This window comes from Homo sapiens, chromosome 2, assembly GCF_000001405.40.
Source record: "Homo sapiens chromosome 2, GRCh38.p14 Primary Assembly".
Classification (NCBI taxonomy): domain Eukaryota; kingdom Metazoa; phylum Chordata; class Mammalia; order Primates; family Hominidae; genus Homo; species Homo sapiens.
The window spans coordinates 67,483,421-67,503,249 of record NC_000002.12 but is presented as its reverse complement, the minus strand read 5'-3'; the positions used below and the strand labels follow the sequence as shown (position 1 = coordinate 67,503,249).

At 40.4% G+C, this 19,829-nt stretch overlaps 1 annotated feature.

Moving 5' to 3' along the window:
- Window positions 499–668: an enhancer, noted in NCBI's record as "experimental_58804 CRE fragment used in MPRA reporter constructs". NCBI's record gives its function as "activates a minimal promoter by MPRAs in K562 erythroleukemia cells, with activity observed for both the introgressed and non-introgressed 2:67729799 variant alleles {active_cell/tissue: K562}" and the evidence as "EXISTENCE:reporter gene assay evidence [ECO:0000049][PMID:34662402]".

Genomic DNA, 19,829 nt, shown 5'->3' with positions numbered 1-19,829 from the left:
GATTACCTCTAATGCCAGAGGAATTCCAGCTTTTTGTAAAAGAGGCAATGAGCATGGGAAACATCGGGTGTTACTCACTTCCCTTTTTTCATGAGAAAGGAATCTTCTCTTTTGGAGCCCTTTTCCTCCATCAGGGCCTGGGATGGTGGGTTAAAGGTCACCAAGATGGGTACTGGAGCTGACTTTGTATTTATGTTTCTATGCAGAGTGATTTGTGTTACTAGCATCTGTGGACACATTCTGTCTCCTCAGTGCAACAATAGGTTCTTCTCTCCATTCCACACAACGAAGCTGGTCCAGGACAGATTCCAAAGTTAAAGATTTGTTTGCCAAATGAAGACAAAGTTCAGAAAATGCTTCAAGGTCTCTCCCTCTATCTCTTTGCTTTCTTTTGCCAAACTCTCCAGTTTACTCCCAAAGAGCACGGCAAATTCACTCATGGTTTGGATAGCAGTTGGGGCAGGTATACTGCTTTACGTTCTTCACATGCCAGAAAACAACATATCCATTTCCTCTCAAAGGTTAAGCCTTCTTGGCTAGGGGTAGGGAGTTGTTTACAGAAGACTGGGTCAGATCATGCTTTCTGTGCAGTTACCTAAGTGAAGGGGGAACAGACTAGAAATTAGCCATCTCGCAGTTTTACTGCCTAGGGGTGGAGAAAGGGAAGGCTGAATGTGGCTGCAATTTGACAGAACACACAAATACAGAGAAAGTTCTGGAAAGTTTTCTCACAGCTTTACCAGTACTTTTTCACTTGCCTGAGGTCATTTCCTCTTATCTTATAATCCATTGTTTTCTAAGAGAAATTTCATAAAAGAAAGCCTTTTTTAATAGCCCGACTGAAGCTCCCGTGATGAAAACAATAAAAATTCTCATTTGAAAGTGATTCTTTTTCCACTTCTAGGACAACCAGGGGAATAAAATCACACCATGTGCAGCAGCCCAGACCTTATGATTGTCAAGACCAAGTTAAATTTGAAGGTTTAGAGGCTCAAAAGCATCACAACGGTTTCTAACCCCAGAAGGGTTGCTTCAGTGGGATTCTTTTGAAGTAAAATCTACATCTAGTTACAGGGGACACTTTCTGCCATCCACCAAATATTGATATTTCCTTATAGCTTTCAGCATCTATTCCACTTTCTTCTTCCGTCTTCAGGTTCTGCTTCTTTCCTTCACTATTCTCTGCAGGTTCTAGATGGTCCATATTGTGCTACGTGTGATAGGTGATTATTTTTGGTGGTGGAAATGGGGAAAGACAAGAAGAAGACAGAAATTAAAATCTGGAGAGATAAATGAGTTTTAAAAAATAATCCTTAATATTCTATGACATGAAGGAAGAATATAATACTAAAAATGTGTTTTGAAGCCAACCTGTATTAGTTCGTTCTTGCACTGCTATAAAGAACTGCCAGAGACTGGGTAATTTATAAAGAAAGGGTGTTTAATTGATTCACAGTTCCACATGGCTGGGGAGGCCTCAGGGAACTTAGAATCATGGCAGAAGGGGAAGCAGTTACACCTTACATGCTGGCAGGTGAGACAGAGCGTGTAAGCCCAGGGGAAACTGCCATTTATAAAACCATCAGATCTCATAAGAATTCCCTCAGTATCATGAGAACAGCATGGGGAAACTGCTCCCATGGTCCAGTCACCTCCAACTAGGTCTCTCCCTCAACACCTGGGGATTACAATTCAAGTTGAGATTTGGGTAGGGACACAAAGCCTAACCATAGCACACCCCTCCTAGACAGAGAGTAGAGTCTTGCTTTTATTTTTCAGCTCTGTGCATATGGGAAGCAGACTGAATTCATAGGAATGTGGCAATCCTGTACTGTTCCCTGGCCAATCTTACTGCTACATTGAGCTCTTCATGTTTTAAAGAATCTCTTCATAAATTGGCAGCCATGGTTAGCTAAATGATTAAAAGGAGAAGAGAAATATTTAGCCTCCTGAGTCAGTTGGATATACGGTAGCAGACAAGTCAGGTGAAGTTTTCTTACAGAATGCATGCCATGCTGCATATGGGGAAGGAAATTTCCCAACATCCCAGAGGTCCTGCTCAGGACTCTTTTAGAGCTCTAATTCTTTCTTTCCTTGTTTGGCCTCACAGGTGCTCCATCGACTCTAACTTACCCTCCCAGTCTTATCTGTGATGAAAGGTTCCAGGTATTTCCCCTTTTACAAGGAATAACTTGTCATTTCCAAAAGATATTCTGTGTTCTCTTGCCTCAGTGTCTCTGCCCACCATTGGGAATGCTATTCCTCACCATCCTCCTTTCCTGGTCAAATTCAGATCCACTGTTCAATGGAAATGTTATCTTCAACTTGTGAAGCAGTCTGCAACCCTTCCAGATGGACATACCCTTTGCTCGTTGGTGACCCCAAGCCTTCCATGAACGTTGCTCTTTTGGTTTGTTAGGCTAAGGCTGGGAATGTGCATGACTGGCTCCGCAGGTGGTTTCCTGAGAGCAGCTTCCATAGTAGCCTTACTCATCACTGTGTCTTCCAGTCTTCCTAGCACAGGGCCGTCTTGCTGCACACACTCCATGTATGTTTATTAAATTCACTGGAATGTGATAACATTGTTAATGATCACGTAGGAGTGTAAGAACAACATAATACAGAAATATGCTAAAAGGAAAAGAGGAAGCCTAAACACTGAGGTTCTTGGAAGACTCACGGGATGTGCCAAGTGCCTCTACTGAGAGACAAATAGAAAGGAGAAAATGATGAGCTTTTGAAAAAAATCTAGTGTGTTTTTTCTGTCTTTCCAATGGGCTTGAAAATTGTTTTCTGTAGAGGAATCATCGGCTGGACTATCTGGATGAAAAGAATCCCCACCTCCATGATAACAGGATGTCCCATAGTGCCCACAAAAGGTGCAAGCACCCAGGTACCTGCTGGTGACAGTTGGATCGCCCATCATAGTAAGGACTTGAGAGGCCACCTTTGGTAGATTTCTTATTGAAAGGAAACTGCAGCATGAATGGAAGCACGAGGCAGCACACTCCCAGGCTTTTCAAGTACAGGAGTTAAATAAATAATTTTACAGACTGAGACAGGTCAACAATTTTCTGGAACTGATTATTTACTATAGATAAATATTTATAGAGCCACAAAAAGCACTGGGGTAACAACAGTGAAAAAGACAGACAGCGTTTCTTTCCCTGTCCTCCCTGGAACTCTGCTGGCTACCCTTGCCGTTTTTCTGTTAATCAAACTTCCTATTATAAATCTGTGGTAAGAGAATTGTGTCTCAGATATTCCCAGAAGTGTCAGGGAAGAAAATATGCCACCACCAACCAGCAGACAAAAAAATTAACCACCTGGGAAAATTAATAGAATTGTGCTTAAATGAAGGTGTTACATAAAACAAACAAACAAAACTATGAGTTCTGCCCCATTCTCAGAAAATTAGGTCTATATTTTTACATCTTTCTGAGTGCACCTGGGGGTGGAAGCGAGTAGGTTCCACCTCCAAGGCCGAGTGGCTTCAAAGGTCTCCTGCTGAGGGGGTTGGGTGGCACATCCATGCTTTAATTCAGAGTATTCTCTGTCCCAAGCTCTCTGAGAAAGATGAGCCATCACTGTTTCCCACACTCTGATTTATTCCTTCACCTACAGAGACCTAGCTCAGTACCTTGCATATAGCAAATGCTCAATAAATATTGACCATATTCATGATTAAGTGACAGCCATTTAATTGAGAAGCGGAAATGTGACATTTATAGATGTCCACATTTGTTGGGCACGGTTATAGGTGATACAGCCTCAGGAAAGAAGCCGTAGGTCTTCAGCAACCTAACACTTTGGGAAAAGAGAAATTTCTGATCTATATTTTAGAATTTATATTTTAGAGTCCTGTTGCTCAAAGTGGGCCAACTATAGGATATCACTGTGTGATCAAAAATCAGAGGAGGTAGGGAAAGGACTTATATTGAAATGCACATGGATATAATGTAGTGTAAAATGCAAAATTCACAAGAAAATAAAACCTGACACTTCAGAGAAATTTTGCCTGCCTGTAGACCCACAGCTTTTGCAAAATGCTTTTTAAGGGGCATTTCCAGGAAATTATTGAGCAATGTCTACTTCAGGCACAAAATTCATGCTGCTGGGGCAGCTCACAACTTGTTTTCTAGACTCATGGTTTGTTTTTGTGGGGGGAGGGGAAAGAAAATCTCCCTTTCCCCAGATCACGTGAAATCTTCCAAGGTTTCTAAAGTTTCCATCTTCAGTCTCTCTCATGCCAGCCCAATCAATACACATAGTGATAAATACAGACTTTTGAAGTTATTATCTGGGTATTTCAGACCACAACCTCACCTATCTAAATAATTCTGGCAAAGTTGTGTGTTCTCATGCAAGAGCAAGATAAATCCTTGAGTTGCCATTTCATATGTGTCTGCAGATACTGACTCCAGGTTTCCAGAAGCCTAGGGAGGGTGGAGCGGGGTGGAGGGAGAGGAGGGTAATGTCTTACACAAAAGTAGTGAAATGCTTCTGTGAGCAGCGAGTTCAGGTTTACAAGAGTATCATTTCAAAGGGAAAGCCAGGATGCAAAGTGCATAATTTTGCAACTGGTTCTCTTCAGCCTCCAGCATTATAGTTGCCTAGATGAGAATTCTTGTCTTCTTAAAATGCATTCTCTGCCTTCAAGTTAGATGATGTGTTTTATAGAAGAGAAACAAAAAAGAAAATATCCATTTCTTTGTATTTAGCAAGGTTTCCTGGGTGGTATCTTTATGCTTCTCATCTTTCCACATCAGACCCCCCAATCTTTCCCCTCTTTGATCTCACCTACCACCATGATTGGGTTAGTTCAACATATATTTTCAGTTACTAAAGTGTTTTAGATACTGTATCAGGCAGGATGGATTCAAAGATGAATGAAGCAACCCCTGTCCACTAGCAGCTATGTTCTCAAATGATTTCAACATAGTAGGTAAGTGCTAAGATAGAGGTAGGAACCTGGAGGGGTTTCCAGAACACAGCTACAAGCATCTGTCAAAAGATGGTGCTGTTATAATGATTTCTCATACATTTTTCTTTTCTCCTATGTTGCCTTCAAATTCCTTGAAGACAGGATCCGTGTACTTGCTACTTCCCTATTTCTCTCCTAGATGATGTTCTCAATAAATGTTAATTGAAATGGTTCTAGATCCATGGTTTACAATGCTGTCACTTTAATATTGGTCTTTTGTGAAGTTCTTACAATTTAGACTCTGACAACACTAGGAGAAAGAGAGACCCCCAAATTCAGGTTGGTTGGCAAATTCATTATCTGGCATTAATATTGTACCTCTCTGAAAGACCAAGGACATGTACTTGCTTCAGTAGTAAGAAGAGCTCCGTGGGGGGCTTAATTTGGAAATACTGTTGACTGTTCATGACTACGACGTTGCTCAAGTTGGGAAAAGCATGTGTGGTGTTCAATGTGATCTTAACATTGTAGTCGATCAGAAAGGGGGCACAAGCACGATAGTTGCTGTTTAATGATGTATGAAAAAGCTTGGTAAAGTGCAGCATTAACAAAAGCTGAATCAGGTGCAGAACCAAGACCTGATAAAATATTGAGACCTTTGTGGCCAAGGCCACATCTCCCAACTTGGAAAGTGATGAGCATCAAGTGCCATCACAGAGTACAGAAACTACGGTAGATCCATGGAGTCAGAGCAATGGACAGGAATGCTGCCTTTGGAAAAGGGAGTGACTGATGAGACAAATAAGGCTTTCACCTGGATATATTCATAAAGCCTCTTACTGTTCAGTCTATGTGTGGTTTATTTTTAAATCTTCTGTTTTGTCAATCTACTGAAGCAAACCTACAAACTTAGAAAACAAACAAAGACTCTAGTCAACAAAAGTAATCTGTATTAGTTAGAGTTGCAGATGATAAGTAAGTCTTGGATCCTTTAAAGAAATGTCAACAGCAAAACTCCTATTACTATTATTGTTCTGCTTTTACAAATGCAAACTAGTAGTGGCAATATCTTTGGTTTAAAATGCTTAGTGTAATATGAGACACCCAACTTATCTGTATTGTTCTAATAGGTGGCTTATAATAAGCTGTGGGTTTAGAAAGGACAATGGATTTTATGTCCTCCCAGGAAGATTTTATTGAACTAAAGAAAAACTGTTAGAAAATAATGGAAGTCTGTATCTCCTTGCTTATTAGAAGGAGTTTCAAGGCCTATTTCTTCATAATTTCTATCTAATCAATCATGTTTCTTGTCTTGGTGAATTATGGTCTCATGGATTGACATTTATGAGTATTTCTTGATAAGGCTAGAGGGTAAAGTCCAAGACATAATATTATCCAGATCTTACATGAACATCTCTTCAACTTGTTCTGTTGCTTTGTGAAGATGCCAAATTCAGTGAGGGACATGAATCCTATCCCTGAAACGCTTAAAGCAGGATTGGTGAAACAAGACATAACTATACTTAGAACACTGTTTAGAGAGATAGGGCAAGAAAGTAAAGGTTTTATTCTTTTTTCTTTTTCCAAATGAATTATACTGACAAGAAATATACTAGTTTGGAAGGAAGGAGAGCTAACTTTATGTTATTCAGGAAAGTTGGTGGATGTGAAATTGGCAGTGGCTCTGAAGGAGCCAGCTTTTGAAGGCAGAGAAGGAAACAGAAGGACCTATTACATGGAGATGAACCCCAGCAAATGAGCAGGGCAAGAGTGTCCAGATAGGCTGGGGCAATGGGAATAATACCTAAACTAGAGTAGCTGGAGTAGATGATATGCAGGTGTTGTAGGACTGTTTGTGACAGAGGCATGAGGTAAGGTAGATAGCGATCACTTTTCATGTCAGCCTAAGGAGTTAGCATTTTATCCAACATCCAAGGTATTATCCATTGCTAAAGTATTTCAAGATTGCCTTGGTCAATAATAACAGAATGTTTAAAAAATCTTTACCCCCAAAATTGAATGTTGGCTCCTATTTCAAATATTTCTCCATAAGGCAAATGGAACATTTGAATGTTTATACTTTTTGTCACTGTTTATACCAAGTGCATTTTTATTTATTTTATGTGGTTGATCTTTAAAGTAGTGCTGGGGTATATTGTCTAGTCCAATCTGTTGGCAGAGATGGAAAAATATCTGAATGCTTTTGTGACATGAAAATTTATTTGGGGACTTAAATAGAAATCTCAAGAGGAAAGCGCATAGGATATTATTGATTTTATTTTTATTTTCTATTACAACCGAGCATTAAGGAGGAATCAGTTAAAGCAAGAACTCTGATCATAAATTATTCTATGGAAGAGCCATTGTTAAAGTTCTGGCAGAGCTGAAAGGCTCCCAAATAGAGTATGCTTTGTGCATGAGACTCATAAATACAATGAACCAAATCCTCATCTTATTTTACTCTTCATTTATCCGCATGATGGTGTTTACTTTAGGTAAAGGGATATTTTATTTTACTATTAATATCTGAATTGAGCCAAATTGTTGGGGCATGGTATGTTTGAAAGTAGCTGATGGACATCAACAAATGTAGAGCATTAGTTAATCAAAGGGCTTGAGTTATTTCATCGTTAAAATTAATTGGAAGTTTTTCATCCTTGCCCCATGCATAAGGGAGCAAGGCATCTATGGTTGCATGGGCAACACTTGAAAGAAAGTCGTAAGGGCTATACATATGGCAAATAGTAGACAGATTCATCATGCCCAGGTTTTGCTGGTATTTGCCACCCAGGTCAGCATTTTGCATCTACCTGGATCTAAAGTATTTGACACTGGCTCACCGTGCAATAGTTATTTCAGAATTAAGATTGTTTACGTGTTTCCCTTGGATGCCAATGGAAGCTAAAAACAGTGGCTCATTTGTAGACTTGAAAATCCCCAACCGTAAACCTGACAGCCATATTCTTCTTATTCCACTTTTCTTGCTAGCTTCTCTTCTCTCTCCCCTCTCCTCCACCTCCCTTCCTCTCACCTCTTTACATCCCATTGTTTTCTCTAGTCATCCATATCTCGTCCCTATTGTATACTCCACCTGAGAAAAGAGAGGAAGTGAGCTGAAGCCTATTTTTTTTCCACTTTGGGGGTCAATTTTTAACCTTTTGGTGTATAGCTGCTGAAAGGGAAGGTTGTAACTTGTTCTCTACCTGTAGAAACTCTTGCATGAGGCAATTTTCACATTCCTAAGGTGGCCGCCTAATATTTTCTTGCCTCCTGATTCCATCTGAATCCATGGAAATTATAAGTCCATATATTACTTGGACTTAAAGAAGGAGTGTTTGACCTCTACTGTCTTCGATAAAATATTTAGGCACCTAAATGCCTAAGCTACATTTGGATGCAGCCAACATGACTATAAACTCCTCAAGTTTCACTGAGTCCTGTTTCCAGTGTTTTTACATCTTCTGCCAATCTTTGGGAGGATGCATTTTATAGCCTCCAGGTCAGCATGCATATTGCAGTGTTCCCTGGTTTCCAAATTGGCACAGGGAAAGTGAGAAAGCATTCAGTAACAACCTGCAAAACCTCTCCTAGCAATGTTTCTCCTTAACCTAGTGGTCCCACATTTTTTTTTTTTTTTTTTTTTTTTTTTTTGAGATGGAGTCTTGCTCTGTCGCCCAGGCTGGAGTGCAGTGGCGCGATCTCGGCTCACTGCAAGCTCCTGCTCCCGGGTTGACGCCATTCTCCTGCCTCAGCCTCCCGAGTAGCTGGGACTACAGGCGCCCGCCTGTACTAATTTTTTGTACGCCCGGCTAATTTTTTGTACTTTTAGTAGAGACAGGGTTTCACCGTGTTAGCCAGGATGGTCTCAATCTCCTGACCTCGTGATCCACCCGCCTCGGCCTCCCAAAGTGCTGAGATTATAGGCGTGAGCCACCGCGCCTGGCTGGTCCCACATGTTTTAAACCCAGATTTTAAAGTGCTGATAAGGGTGGCTTGAGATCCACAGATGGTTCTCCAAACATGAGATCATTACACTTATAACTCTCTACCTCTTATTCCCATGTCATTTTGCACAGCACTTTTGTAGACAGTACACACAGACGGAGTTTTGAGAGGGTTCTTTGCTCCAGTGCATGAGACCTCATCTCCTGTCTCAGCCTCCAGAAGCCCCAGGACACATGTCCTTTGAGGATAATTCTGGCTCTTTCCAAGCCATAGTCTACACAGTCTTCTTTTCAGAAATTCCTTTTATCAATGAAATTAAATGTACTTGAGCGGCCTGGGTAACACAGTGAGATTTTGTCTCTACAAAAAAAAATAAAATAGAAGTTAGCTGGGCATAGATAGAAGTGCATACCTGTAGTCCTAATTACTTGGGTGGCTAAGGATTGCTTGAACCCAGGAGTTTCAGGCTGCAGTGAGCTATGATCATGTCACTGCACTCCAGCCTGGGTAAAAGAGCGAGAATCTATCTAAAACAAACAAACAAAAAAAACCATGAAGGACATGAGTTTTTGTTCCTCCTCAGTTCAATTTTAAACACATATTTTGAAACATGTTCTATATGCTTTATTATAAGTTTGCTTACATGAAAAAAGACAAGTTTGGATCCTGTTTTTATGACTGAGGGCTCTATTAGGAAGGTGCAAAAATTGTATTTGTATTTTACTTTCATAAAAAGAAAAATGGCAGGCCCTGGGCTAAGTGCTTTATTTATATTATTTCATTTATTTAACCCCCCTCCAATAACTTTATGGGTATCGTATTCTTTGTTTTTTCACATTATGAAAGAGGAAACAAAAACCCAAGAAAGTTTAAGTGAGTTGTTCAAGGTCACACAGCTCATATTGGGAGGAGCAGAGTCCCAATCCTGCAGTTCTGATACACAAATGAGTAAATAAAAAAGAAAGTCATTCCCTTTCTTCTGTACCATGGCAGCCTCCCTAATGCATAATTTGCTTTTTTACTCTTGTGTTTTAGATGTCTTAATCTCTGGATTGGATGCTTTCTCCTTTTTCTTTCTAAAGAAAAAAACGAAAAAAAAAAGCATCTCTACTTTCTTGGCCTTCTACAAGCATGAAAAGCACTTAACTGCAGAGAGGGGGAATGTGGGATATTGGAAAGGTCAGAGGTGTTCACGAGGTCTCCTCTGTATTTTTACTCATGGACCTGGTAGGATGATGCAGTGCCCAGGCCTTCCTGAAAGCAAGAAGCTCTCTGGAGAGTTGTTCCCTTCCCATAAATAAAAGGTGCTGTGAAAATTCAGGGACACTGAACATTGGAGGAAGGGTTGGACAGAAGCTAGCAAAGATCCACAAAGCACCAGATCCCACAGCAGCCCCTCTTTCCGCCAGCACCCTGCCTGTCCTCTCCCCAGCCTTCTAGGTCTTTCACTGACGATTATCTCATTCTGTTTTCAAAAGAACGCTGAGTGATATAGTCCTGTTATCTCCATTTCATAGATGAGGAAACTTGGGTTTAGCCAGATAGCTAATTTTTCCATGGTTTTTGCAGTTACTAAGTAAAAGAGCTGGTTGGGAATGGGAGACCAACTGTGAGACCTGAGTGTCCTGTGGTGTGGGACTTTCGGTGCTAAACCTCTGACAGTCCCAGTACTCTGGGACCACTGATCATCCTAGAATGGAAACTGGTGGTGCCTAACTCCAACCCTTGTGCTTAACATCTTTATGGCACCATCCCATAAAATTTCCCCTTTAACTCAAAGTCACTGATAATATTCAATGTATGCAAAATAAGGACAAGCATCTGCCAGTTCTAGAAAGGTTCTTCGGTGATGGGTTTGTAACTCCTTTTTCTACCCTTCTGCAAATCCTTTTCCTTCCTTCTCTGCCCATCTCTTCTCCCCAAATAGCTGGTAGCCATAGGTGCCTTGAGCGTCTTATTCATTGGAGCTCCTGGGAGTGTTGGAATTTGTTAAGAGTTCTTGGTGGGGCGCAGTGGCTTACACCTGTCATCCCAACATTTTGGGAGGCGGGTGGATCATGAGGTCAGGAGATTGAGACTATCCTGGCCAACATGGTGAAATCACGTCTCAACTAAAATACAGAAAATTAGCTGGGCATGGTGGCATGCACCTGTAGTCCCAGCTACTTGGGAGGCTGAGGCAGGGGAATCACTTGAACCTGGGAGGCGGAGGTTGCAGTGAGCCAAAATTGCACCACTGCACTTCTGCCTAGTGACAGAGCAAGACTCCATCTCAAAAAAAAAAAAAAAAAAAAAGAGTTCTAGGGTGAAGAAGAGAAACCAAGCTGCCAGTAGGAATCATTTCTGTCTTAAGTTTCTGCTAAATTGCTTAAGAAATCTCAGAAGAAAGGAACCCCGATCCATAAACCTGCAGTAATGTGCTGTGATTCCTCTTTTGTAGTGCTAACTATATATTCTATTCCATACCTACATTTATACTCACAGTTTCACATGCCTTTTCTTAAAGAAGCACCCCAAAGTTGGCTAAGCTTCAGGTCCAACAAGCCCAGATCTGCTTATGGATTTGGATTTGACCCTTTGTGGTTCCACCCAGGTCTCTCTCCCTGTCCTGAACAGGGCCTCAAATTATCTCTAGCCATGCTACGTGTATTCTCTCAATAGAAACTTTTGAACAATCCTTCAATACCTGCATATTTATTTATTTATTTATTTATAAGTTATATACATAAGCTACATATGAAAATCTGCAAAAATTAAAATTTAAAAGATGAGATAAAGTTTTAAAAGATTTTAAAACTTCTAAGTATTGTTAAATAAATAGAAGTTTTAGTACTGTCTTCTCCATCCCACATGGACATTCTTTGGTGTGTGCAACCAGTTAGGAGACCATGTTAACCATTGTTTTTTGATCTGTGTTTTCTAGAACTGGGTATACAGTAACAATCCAGGGATTGTACAGACAAATATTAAATATTATGCCTTCTTGAGGCTGCAACTGTCCTTCCCTACCCTCAATTAAAAATTCTTTGAAGCAACCTTATTCATCTAATTGATAAACTTTATAATAAATAAATGTTACTAGATTGGGGTTTCACAATATATTTTTGAAAATAGGCTCTGCTATTAAAAATGTTTCAGATCCATTTCTCTATTTATGACATTATACTCACTAGCTACCACTACAGAAATACCTGATGGACTCGGCCATTCTAAGGAGCTAATGGCCAATAATTACTTATGTAGCATCCCTCCAGAGGTATATGAATTTTAGCCAACATTTTTTGAAGATTTTCGGGAGTAACTGCAGGAATCACTAGAATGATGGGATCAGTTAAGAGTATGTGGGAGAGAGTTTTTTGAGACAATGTCAAGATCTCACTTGGAGATGCTTCTGGGGCACCCAACTATTGGTGAATTGGGCCAGGTTAGCATACTTCTCCTCCAGGGTCATCTCTTCTCAGATATAGCGAGCTAAGCTCAAATCCTTGCTTTGTACAGGCAGGAGGAGGTGACTGCTGAATTGGAAAGTTGGACCTCTGCATAAATCTAAGAACTCAGGGTATATCTCCATCTCTACCACTTACAAACAATATGTCCTTGGACAAGTCACTTTCCGGACTTCACGCCCTACAGCAGGAATCTCAGATCTTTCTTTGAAGCATAGGGGCTGGACAATGTCATCTTGAGCTCCTCTGAAACACTAAGGTCTGTGCTTTTATTACTACAGTGTTGCTGTATGCTGGAGAAGTCTGTGGATAGGGTTGGTGCCCGAGTTATAACTCACTTTGTATATGCCCATGTGGGGTTTATGCCAGGTGGCTCCACCTTTACATTTGGGTTTAATCTCATAAACAATTTCCTTTTTATTCAATGAATCCCTGATGCACATGTGTCTCTGAATAAGAATTTTTAAAGCCTTTCCCATGGGCAAGTTCTAGTCTGCCTGCCTAGCCCTGAATTAAATGAATAATTAGCCGTACATAATGATCTGTATATTAATCCCTGAATCATAAGATTGAAAAACTCCTTGAGAGGCTTTGTATTTTCCTACGTGTGTTCTTGCTTTCACATATAAGATTCCCATTATTTAGTCTGTGCTCTCCGTAGCTTTGGCTGTAAACACCCTCCCAGCTTTCAAGGGCAGCACTTAACTGCCATCATCTCCACAAAACCTTCCTGCATTTACCTGATCAGAACCAACGTCCTGCTATGCATTGGACCTCTTGCAGGTTGCTCATCCCCTTATCCCTTGGGGTATCATTATTCTTGGACATTGCTGCTCCTCCTCTACTATCACATGCCTTTGCTTATTGACATTTATGCACCCTTGCTGTTATTAATGCCCTTCCTTTCTCTTTTACCTCCTCCTACTTCTTCCATGTAAACAGGCATCTAACACCCCTCTATTCCTTGAATCTGAACTTCTTCTTATGATCATTGTTAGGGACACAGTGAATGTGTAATTCTTGAAATGCATCAGGGTGTTGTATTTTTCCTTATAAATTGATAGTGCATTTTACTAAAGGCCCCTTTAGTGTCGTGCCTGTATAAAAAGATTCTCATTCTGCCAAATAACCTCTTCTGAATCACTGAGCACCCAAATACAAGCCATTCTTACCCTCAAACCGGGAAATCCAACCTCCTGTCCTGTATACAGGACATTTGACATGATGTGAGGTTGGAGTTTAACTTCCACTAAGTAGATATTTTGAAGATGAATAATAAAAGGGATTACTGAAATCACTGACGCAGCTTCATGGCACTGTCTAGAGAGGCCCGGAAGGAAAGCCTGAGGACTGCCAGCTACCTAAGATGATAATTAGCTTACAAAGCGCAGGCGTTGGAAGGACCTCCCTGCGGCCCTTCCTCTCCTGTGCTTACAGAAAGGGAAGCTTGAGGAATGCGTCTGGAGGCTGGTATAGGCATCATTCTTCTTCCGTAGAGCCTTCATGGATGATCAAGCTACCCTGATACAAAGATCCCTGGTTCTGTTTATTCATCCACTTCATGGACGGGGCAGCCAGCAGCAGAGGCTTGTGCCTGGTTATGAGCTGTAGTCAAAGCAGGTACTTAGTGTTTTAAATGAGCTCCACAGAAAGCAACAGAAGAGAATCATTTGATTCAAATCATGGCCCTTTGAAAATTTGCTTTATGTAATGGAATAGGCCTAATGTAGAATTGAAGCAGAAACTTTAGGGCCCAATGGAGACCCAGTTTAGTATCAGCTGTCGTTTATTGAGCACCTACTATGTGCTAGGACTGTGCTAGACTCTCCAATATACAACAATTCATCCGTAAAATGGAGGTTATAATGCCTATCCCCTAAGGGTTGCTGTAAGGATGAAGTGACTTATTTCACACAATATTTGGCACCTGGTTTGCCCTCATAAATAGCTTTGCCCTTGTCTCATCTTCATCAAAAGCTGGTGCAGTAACAGGCATCCAATCTAGGATGTCATTTGTCTCGTCAGCTTGGAAACTTAAGGTCTCATGCATGGAAAATAATAACAGTGCTACTAAATTCATAACATGTTACAATTTACATAGTGCATTTGCATGTGTCCTCTTTAATATTCAAATCCTACAATTGAAGTAAGAATTCATTTCTCCATTTTGGAGATAAGTATTTGGGATTGAGAGCCCTGCAATGATTTGTTCAAGGTCACACGATTAACCCAGGCCTGAAACCCATCAAAACTCCCTGGTGGAAGAGGCACTCACAAGAGAGCATGTTCTCTCATTGAAAACAGTGTTCTCAAGGTTATGACTGTAATGGCACCGCATTAGCCTCCTGCTCCTAATTTAAAATATCTTTCCCCTCACCCAGTGTGGTCCTGTAATCCTCCCACTAGGGTTACACACTTGAGTTAAGGTATTGAGTTTCCAAAAGGTCTTTGTAAACATAAAACTATTGTAAAATATACAACTATTTCCCTCAGGCTGGGTAACATCCTAGGCCAGTGCACCTCAAACTTTTCCAAATAATGCATTCACATATATGTGACTGTATTCAGTTCTTGTGGCCATTGTAACAAATTGCTACAAACTTTATGGCTTAAAAACAACCTAAATGTACTATATTACCGCTCTGGTGGCCAGAAATCCTAAGTCAGTATGACTGAGCTGGGATCAAGGTGTCAGCAGGGCTGTGTTCCCTCTGAGGCTACAAGGGGGAATCTGTTCCTCGCCTCTTCCAGCTTCAGTGGCTGAGCATTCCTGGGCTTGCGGCCCAATTTCTGCCTCTATCTTCAGCTTGCCTTCTCCTCTTTTGTGTCTGTGTGTCTATTTCAAATCTTCCTACAGCAGCTTTATAAGGATACATGTTGATTGTATTTAGGGTCTACCTAGATAACTCAGGAAAATCACCTCCTCCGAAGATCCTTAACTTAATTACATTTTTTGCCATATAAGGCAATATTCACTCCTTTGCTATATAAGGTGTTATTCACAGGTCTGGGAATTATAAAATGAATATATCCTTGAGGGCCACCATTCAGCCCACTCTAATGGCTTAAGGGAATGTCTCATTTGTAGAAGACTGTGATCATGGAAGCCAAAGCTTGGGCCATTCCCCAGAAGAGCAGTCCACTTTCTCAGTACCTAGGTCCTTAGTCTGAGGTTGGAACTTTCTCATGTCAAACAATCCTGTTTAATGCCTGGCACCTTAGGTATGAGTGGTAAATATTACAGATTCTAAGACGTTATCTCCTCTTGAATACCTCTATCTACCCACCAACCTTCCCCAGTCCCCCACTACTTCCAAAAGATATTTTCTACCCATTCGTCAAGGCCCAACTACAATCCTTAATCACAAGGCTACTCCTGAGCTCCAGGATGTAGTACAAATAATTCCTTCCACTTATGAATTTCAATAGTATTTCATGTGTCTCTTTTATGTAATTGTTTCATGACATACATCACTTTTTACCTTGCATCATCCTAACACATATACTTCATCTCTCTTCCTAAATTCTGAGTTCTCTGACACTGAATCCATCTCTTACCAGGGCCACCACAATAGTTTTCTAATCTATCACCATCTTTCACTTTTGCTTGCTTACAGTAAATTCTTCACACAGCAACCAGAGTGATCTCTTTATGATAAAAATCAGGTTACACTATTTCCCTACTTAAAAGATTTTGATGGCTTCCTGTCACTCTCAGAATAAAATCCAAACTCCTTGCTCTGGCCTGTAAGAACCTGCAAGAGTTGTAAACCCTCCCTCAACCAGCTGTATTAGTCCATTTTCAAGCTGCTGATAAAGACTTACCCCAGACTGGGTGATTTATAAAGAAAAAGAGGTTTAATGGACTCACAGTTCCATGTGGCTGAGGAGGCCTCACAATCATGGTGGAAGGTGAAAGCCACATCTTACATGGCAGCAGGCAAGAGAGAATGAGAGCCAAGTGAAAGGGGAAACCCCTTATAAAACCATCAGATCTCATGAGACTTATTCACAATCATGAGAACAGTATGGGCGAAACCACCCCATGATTCAATTATCTCCCACTGGGTTCCTACCACAACACATGGGAATTATGGGCACTACAATTCAAGATGAGATTTGGGTTGGGTGGGGTTACAGCCAAACTATATCATCAACCAACCCCACCTTCCACTACTTTCCCCTAGGACCCTGCCTTTTGGTAAATTCGAAGAAGCAGTATCCTAAGAGACCTTCTACAACACTGAAATCCCCTGGGTAGACTCTTACCAAATAGCACCACTTCCCCTTGGAACAGGCTTATGCAGCCTGTTCCAGAGCACACACCTCCCTTGGCAGGTGGAGCCCAAGCTGGATCCAGCCCCCAGCTGAGTCATTGCCACTAAGTGCCTCTCTGTAGGCCACAACCTGCATTTCCTAGTGTCAATAGATTCCTTTCCCTGATTCTAAAGATGAATATATGCAAGTAGAAAAGTTAAGCCATGTAATAAAGGGTAAAGGAGGAGGTAATAAGAGTGTTCATCACAGCATTATTTGTAATGATGAAAAACTGCACATGACCTACATAGTTATCAGTAGAGAAGTGATTGATTTATGTTAAATCCAGCTACAGAAAACTAAGCTGCTGTTATAAAGAATAAGGCACTGGTTGCCTAGGGCTGGAAAGTTGGGGGGAAATGGGAAGTGACTGCACATGAATGCAGGGTTTTCTTGGAGAGTGGTGATGAAAATGTTCTAAGACCAATTGTGAGGATTACACAACTTTTCATATACAAAAAACATTGAATCACACACTTTAAATGGGTGAATTTTATGCTACATGAATTATATCTCAATAAAGCTGTTAAAAAGAATATGATAGAATTACATGAACCAATAAAGATAATCATGCCATTACTTTTAAAATAAAAACAAGTTATAGAAGGAAAAATTTAAATATATATTTTCATTTTCAGAAAGCAAGGTAGATAAATATATGTACATGTGCACATACATTAATGCATATATACACGTGTGTGTGTGTGTGAAAGAGAGATAGAGACAGAGACAGAGACAGAAAGAGGAAGAAATAAAAGTGCTTTCCTGAATAATAAACTCTGGGCATTTGGAATGATGGAGGGGTTAAAAGGTGATGTTATTTTTTCATTCCTCATCAATTAAGAATAATTTTAGCTGCAAGTACTTACATACCATACAAATGGGAAACAAGGAGGAGTTAATTTTTCTCACAAGTAGACTTCTGCTTGCCTCAGTGTCAAGGCTTGATGCTATCAGGACTGGCATCTCCGGAATGCCTTTGGTTTTCCCTTATGCCTGTGAGATCAGTGATGGAGTGTTGGCTGCTGCTTCACTAGACAACAAACTGAAGAGCCTTCTTAGGTTCCTGTGGGCCCCCACACGTTTTCACTTTGCCTTACCACCAGAATTGTGTCACATGGTCACTCTAGTTGCAAGGAAAGCTGGGAAAGTGTTTTCCTTTTCCAATCTGAAGAGGGAAGGTACTGCGGGAAGAAAGGGTGAAAATAAATGCTGGGTCAGCCAAACAACAGTATTTACCCCAAAGCACCACGCAGTGGTAGCCATTGCAGTTTTTCAAGAAGATTTCTTTTTCTTTTTTTCTTTTTTTTTTTTTTTTGGTAGCTAAATAATAATAAAAAACTAAATCCTACCACCCAAAGTTAGGCACTGTTATTATTTTGATTATATTGTTATATTTCTCTCTCTTCCCTCCCTTTTTTGTTTTTATTTTTGTTGAAATAGGTTCTTGCTCTGTCTCCCAGGCTCAACCACAGTGTTATGATTATAGCACAGTGCAACCTCCACCTCCTGGGCTTAAGCAATCCTCCCATCTCTGTTTCCCAAGTAGCTGGGACCACAGGTGCACACAACCACACCCAGCTAAATTTCTTCATTTTTAACTTTTTTTCTGGAGACGGGTTCTCCCTATATTGCCCATGCTGGTCTCCAACTCCTGGACTCAAGAGATCCTCCCACCTCAGCCTCCCGAAGTGCTGGGATTACAGACATGAACCACCATGCCCAGCCTTTTCTCTCTCTCTTTCTGTACATACATAGTCATGCATTGCTTAACAACAGGGATACATTCTGAGAAATGTAGTTAGGCAGTTTTGTCATTGTGTAAATATCATGGAATATAGTTACACAAACCTAGATGGTATAGCCCGCTATACACTTAAGCTATATGGTACGACCTACTGCTTCTAGGCTACAAACCTGTAGGGCATGTTACTGTATGGAATACTGTAGCCAATTGTTACTATTGTAACACAATTGTAAATATTTGTTTATCTGAACATGTCTAAACAGAGAAAACTACAGTAAAAATATGGTATTATACAGTAAACTTACAGGACGACTGTCTTATATGTGGGCCTCCATTGACCATTATGCAGTACCTAACTGTATACATAGATGTTTATATATGCAGAGGTGCATATAGGCATGCCTTGGAGATATTGTGGGTTCAGTTCCAGACCTTCCCAATAAAGTGGATACCACAATCAAGTGAGTCATATGAAGTTCTTGGTGTCTCAGTGCATACAAAAGTTGTTTACCATAGACAATTAAGACAAGTATGTGACAGAATTGTCTAAAAATGGACATACTTAATTTAAAAATACTTTATTGCTAAAAAATGTTGATGATCTTCTGAGCCTTCAGCAAGTCATAATCTTTTTGCTGGTGAGAGGTCTTGCCTTGATGTTAATGGCTGCTGATTAATCAGTTTAGTGGTTTCTGAAGGTTGGGGTGGCTATGGCAGTTTCTTAAAATAATTCAACAATCAAGTCTGCCATATCTATGGACTCTTCCTTTCATGAAAGATTTCTCTGTACCATGCAATGTTGTTTGATCACATTTTAGTGCACATTAGAACTTCTTTCCAAATGGGGGATAATCCTCTCAAACACTGCTGCTCCTTTATCAACTAAGTTTATGAAATATCCTAAATCTTTTGTTGCCATTTCAACAATGATTACAGCGTCTTCACCAGTAGATTCCATCTCAAGAAACTGCTCTTTTTGGTCATCCATAAGAGACAACTCCTCACCTGTTAAAGTTTTATCATGAGATTGCAGCAATTCAGGGACATCTTCAGGCTCCACTTCTAATTCTAGTTCTCTTGCCATTTCTACCACATCTATAGTTACTTCCTCCACTGATGTCTCAAACTCCTCACAGTCATCCCTGGGGGTTGGAATCAACTTCTTCCAAATTCCTGTTAATGTGGATATTTTGACCTTTCATGAATCACTAATGTTCTTAATGACACCTAAAACAGTGAGTCCTTTCTAAAAGATTTTCAATTTACCTTGCTCAGATCGAGCAGAGGAATCACTATATATGGCAACTATAACCATGCAAAATATATTTCTCAAATAATAAGAGTTGAAAGTCAAAATTACTCCTGGATCCATAGGCTGCAGAATGGATGTTGTTAGCAGGCGTGAAAACAACGTTCATCTTCTTGTACAGCTCCATCAGAGCTCTTGGTT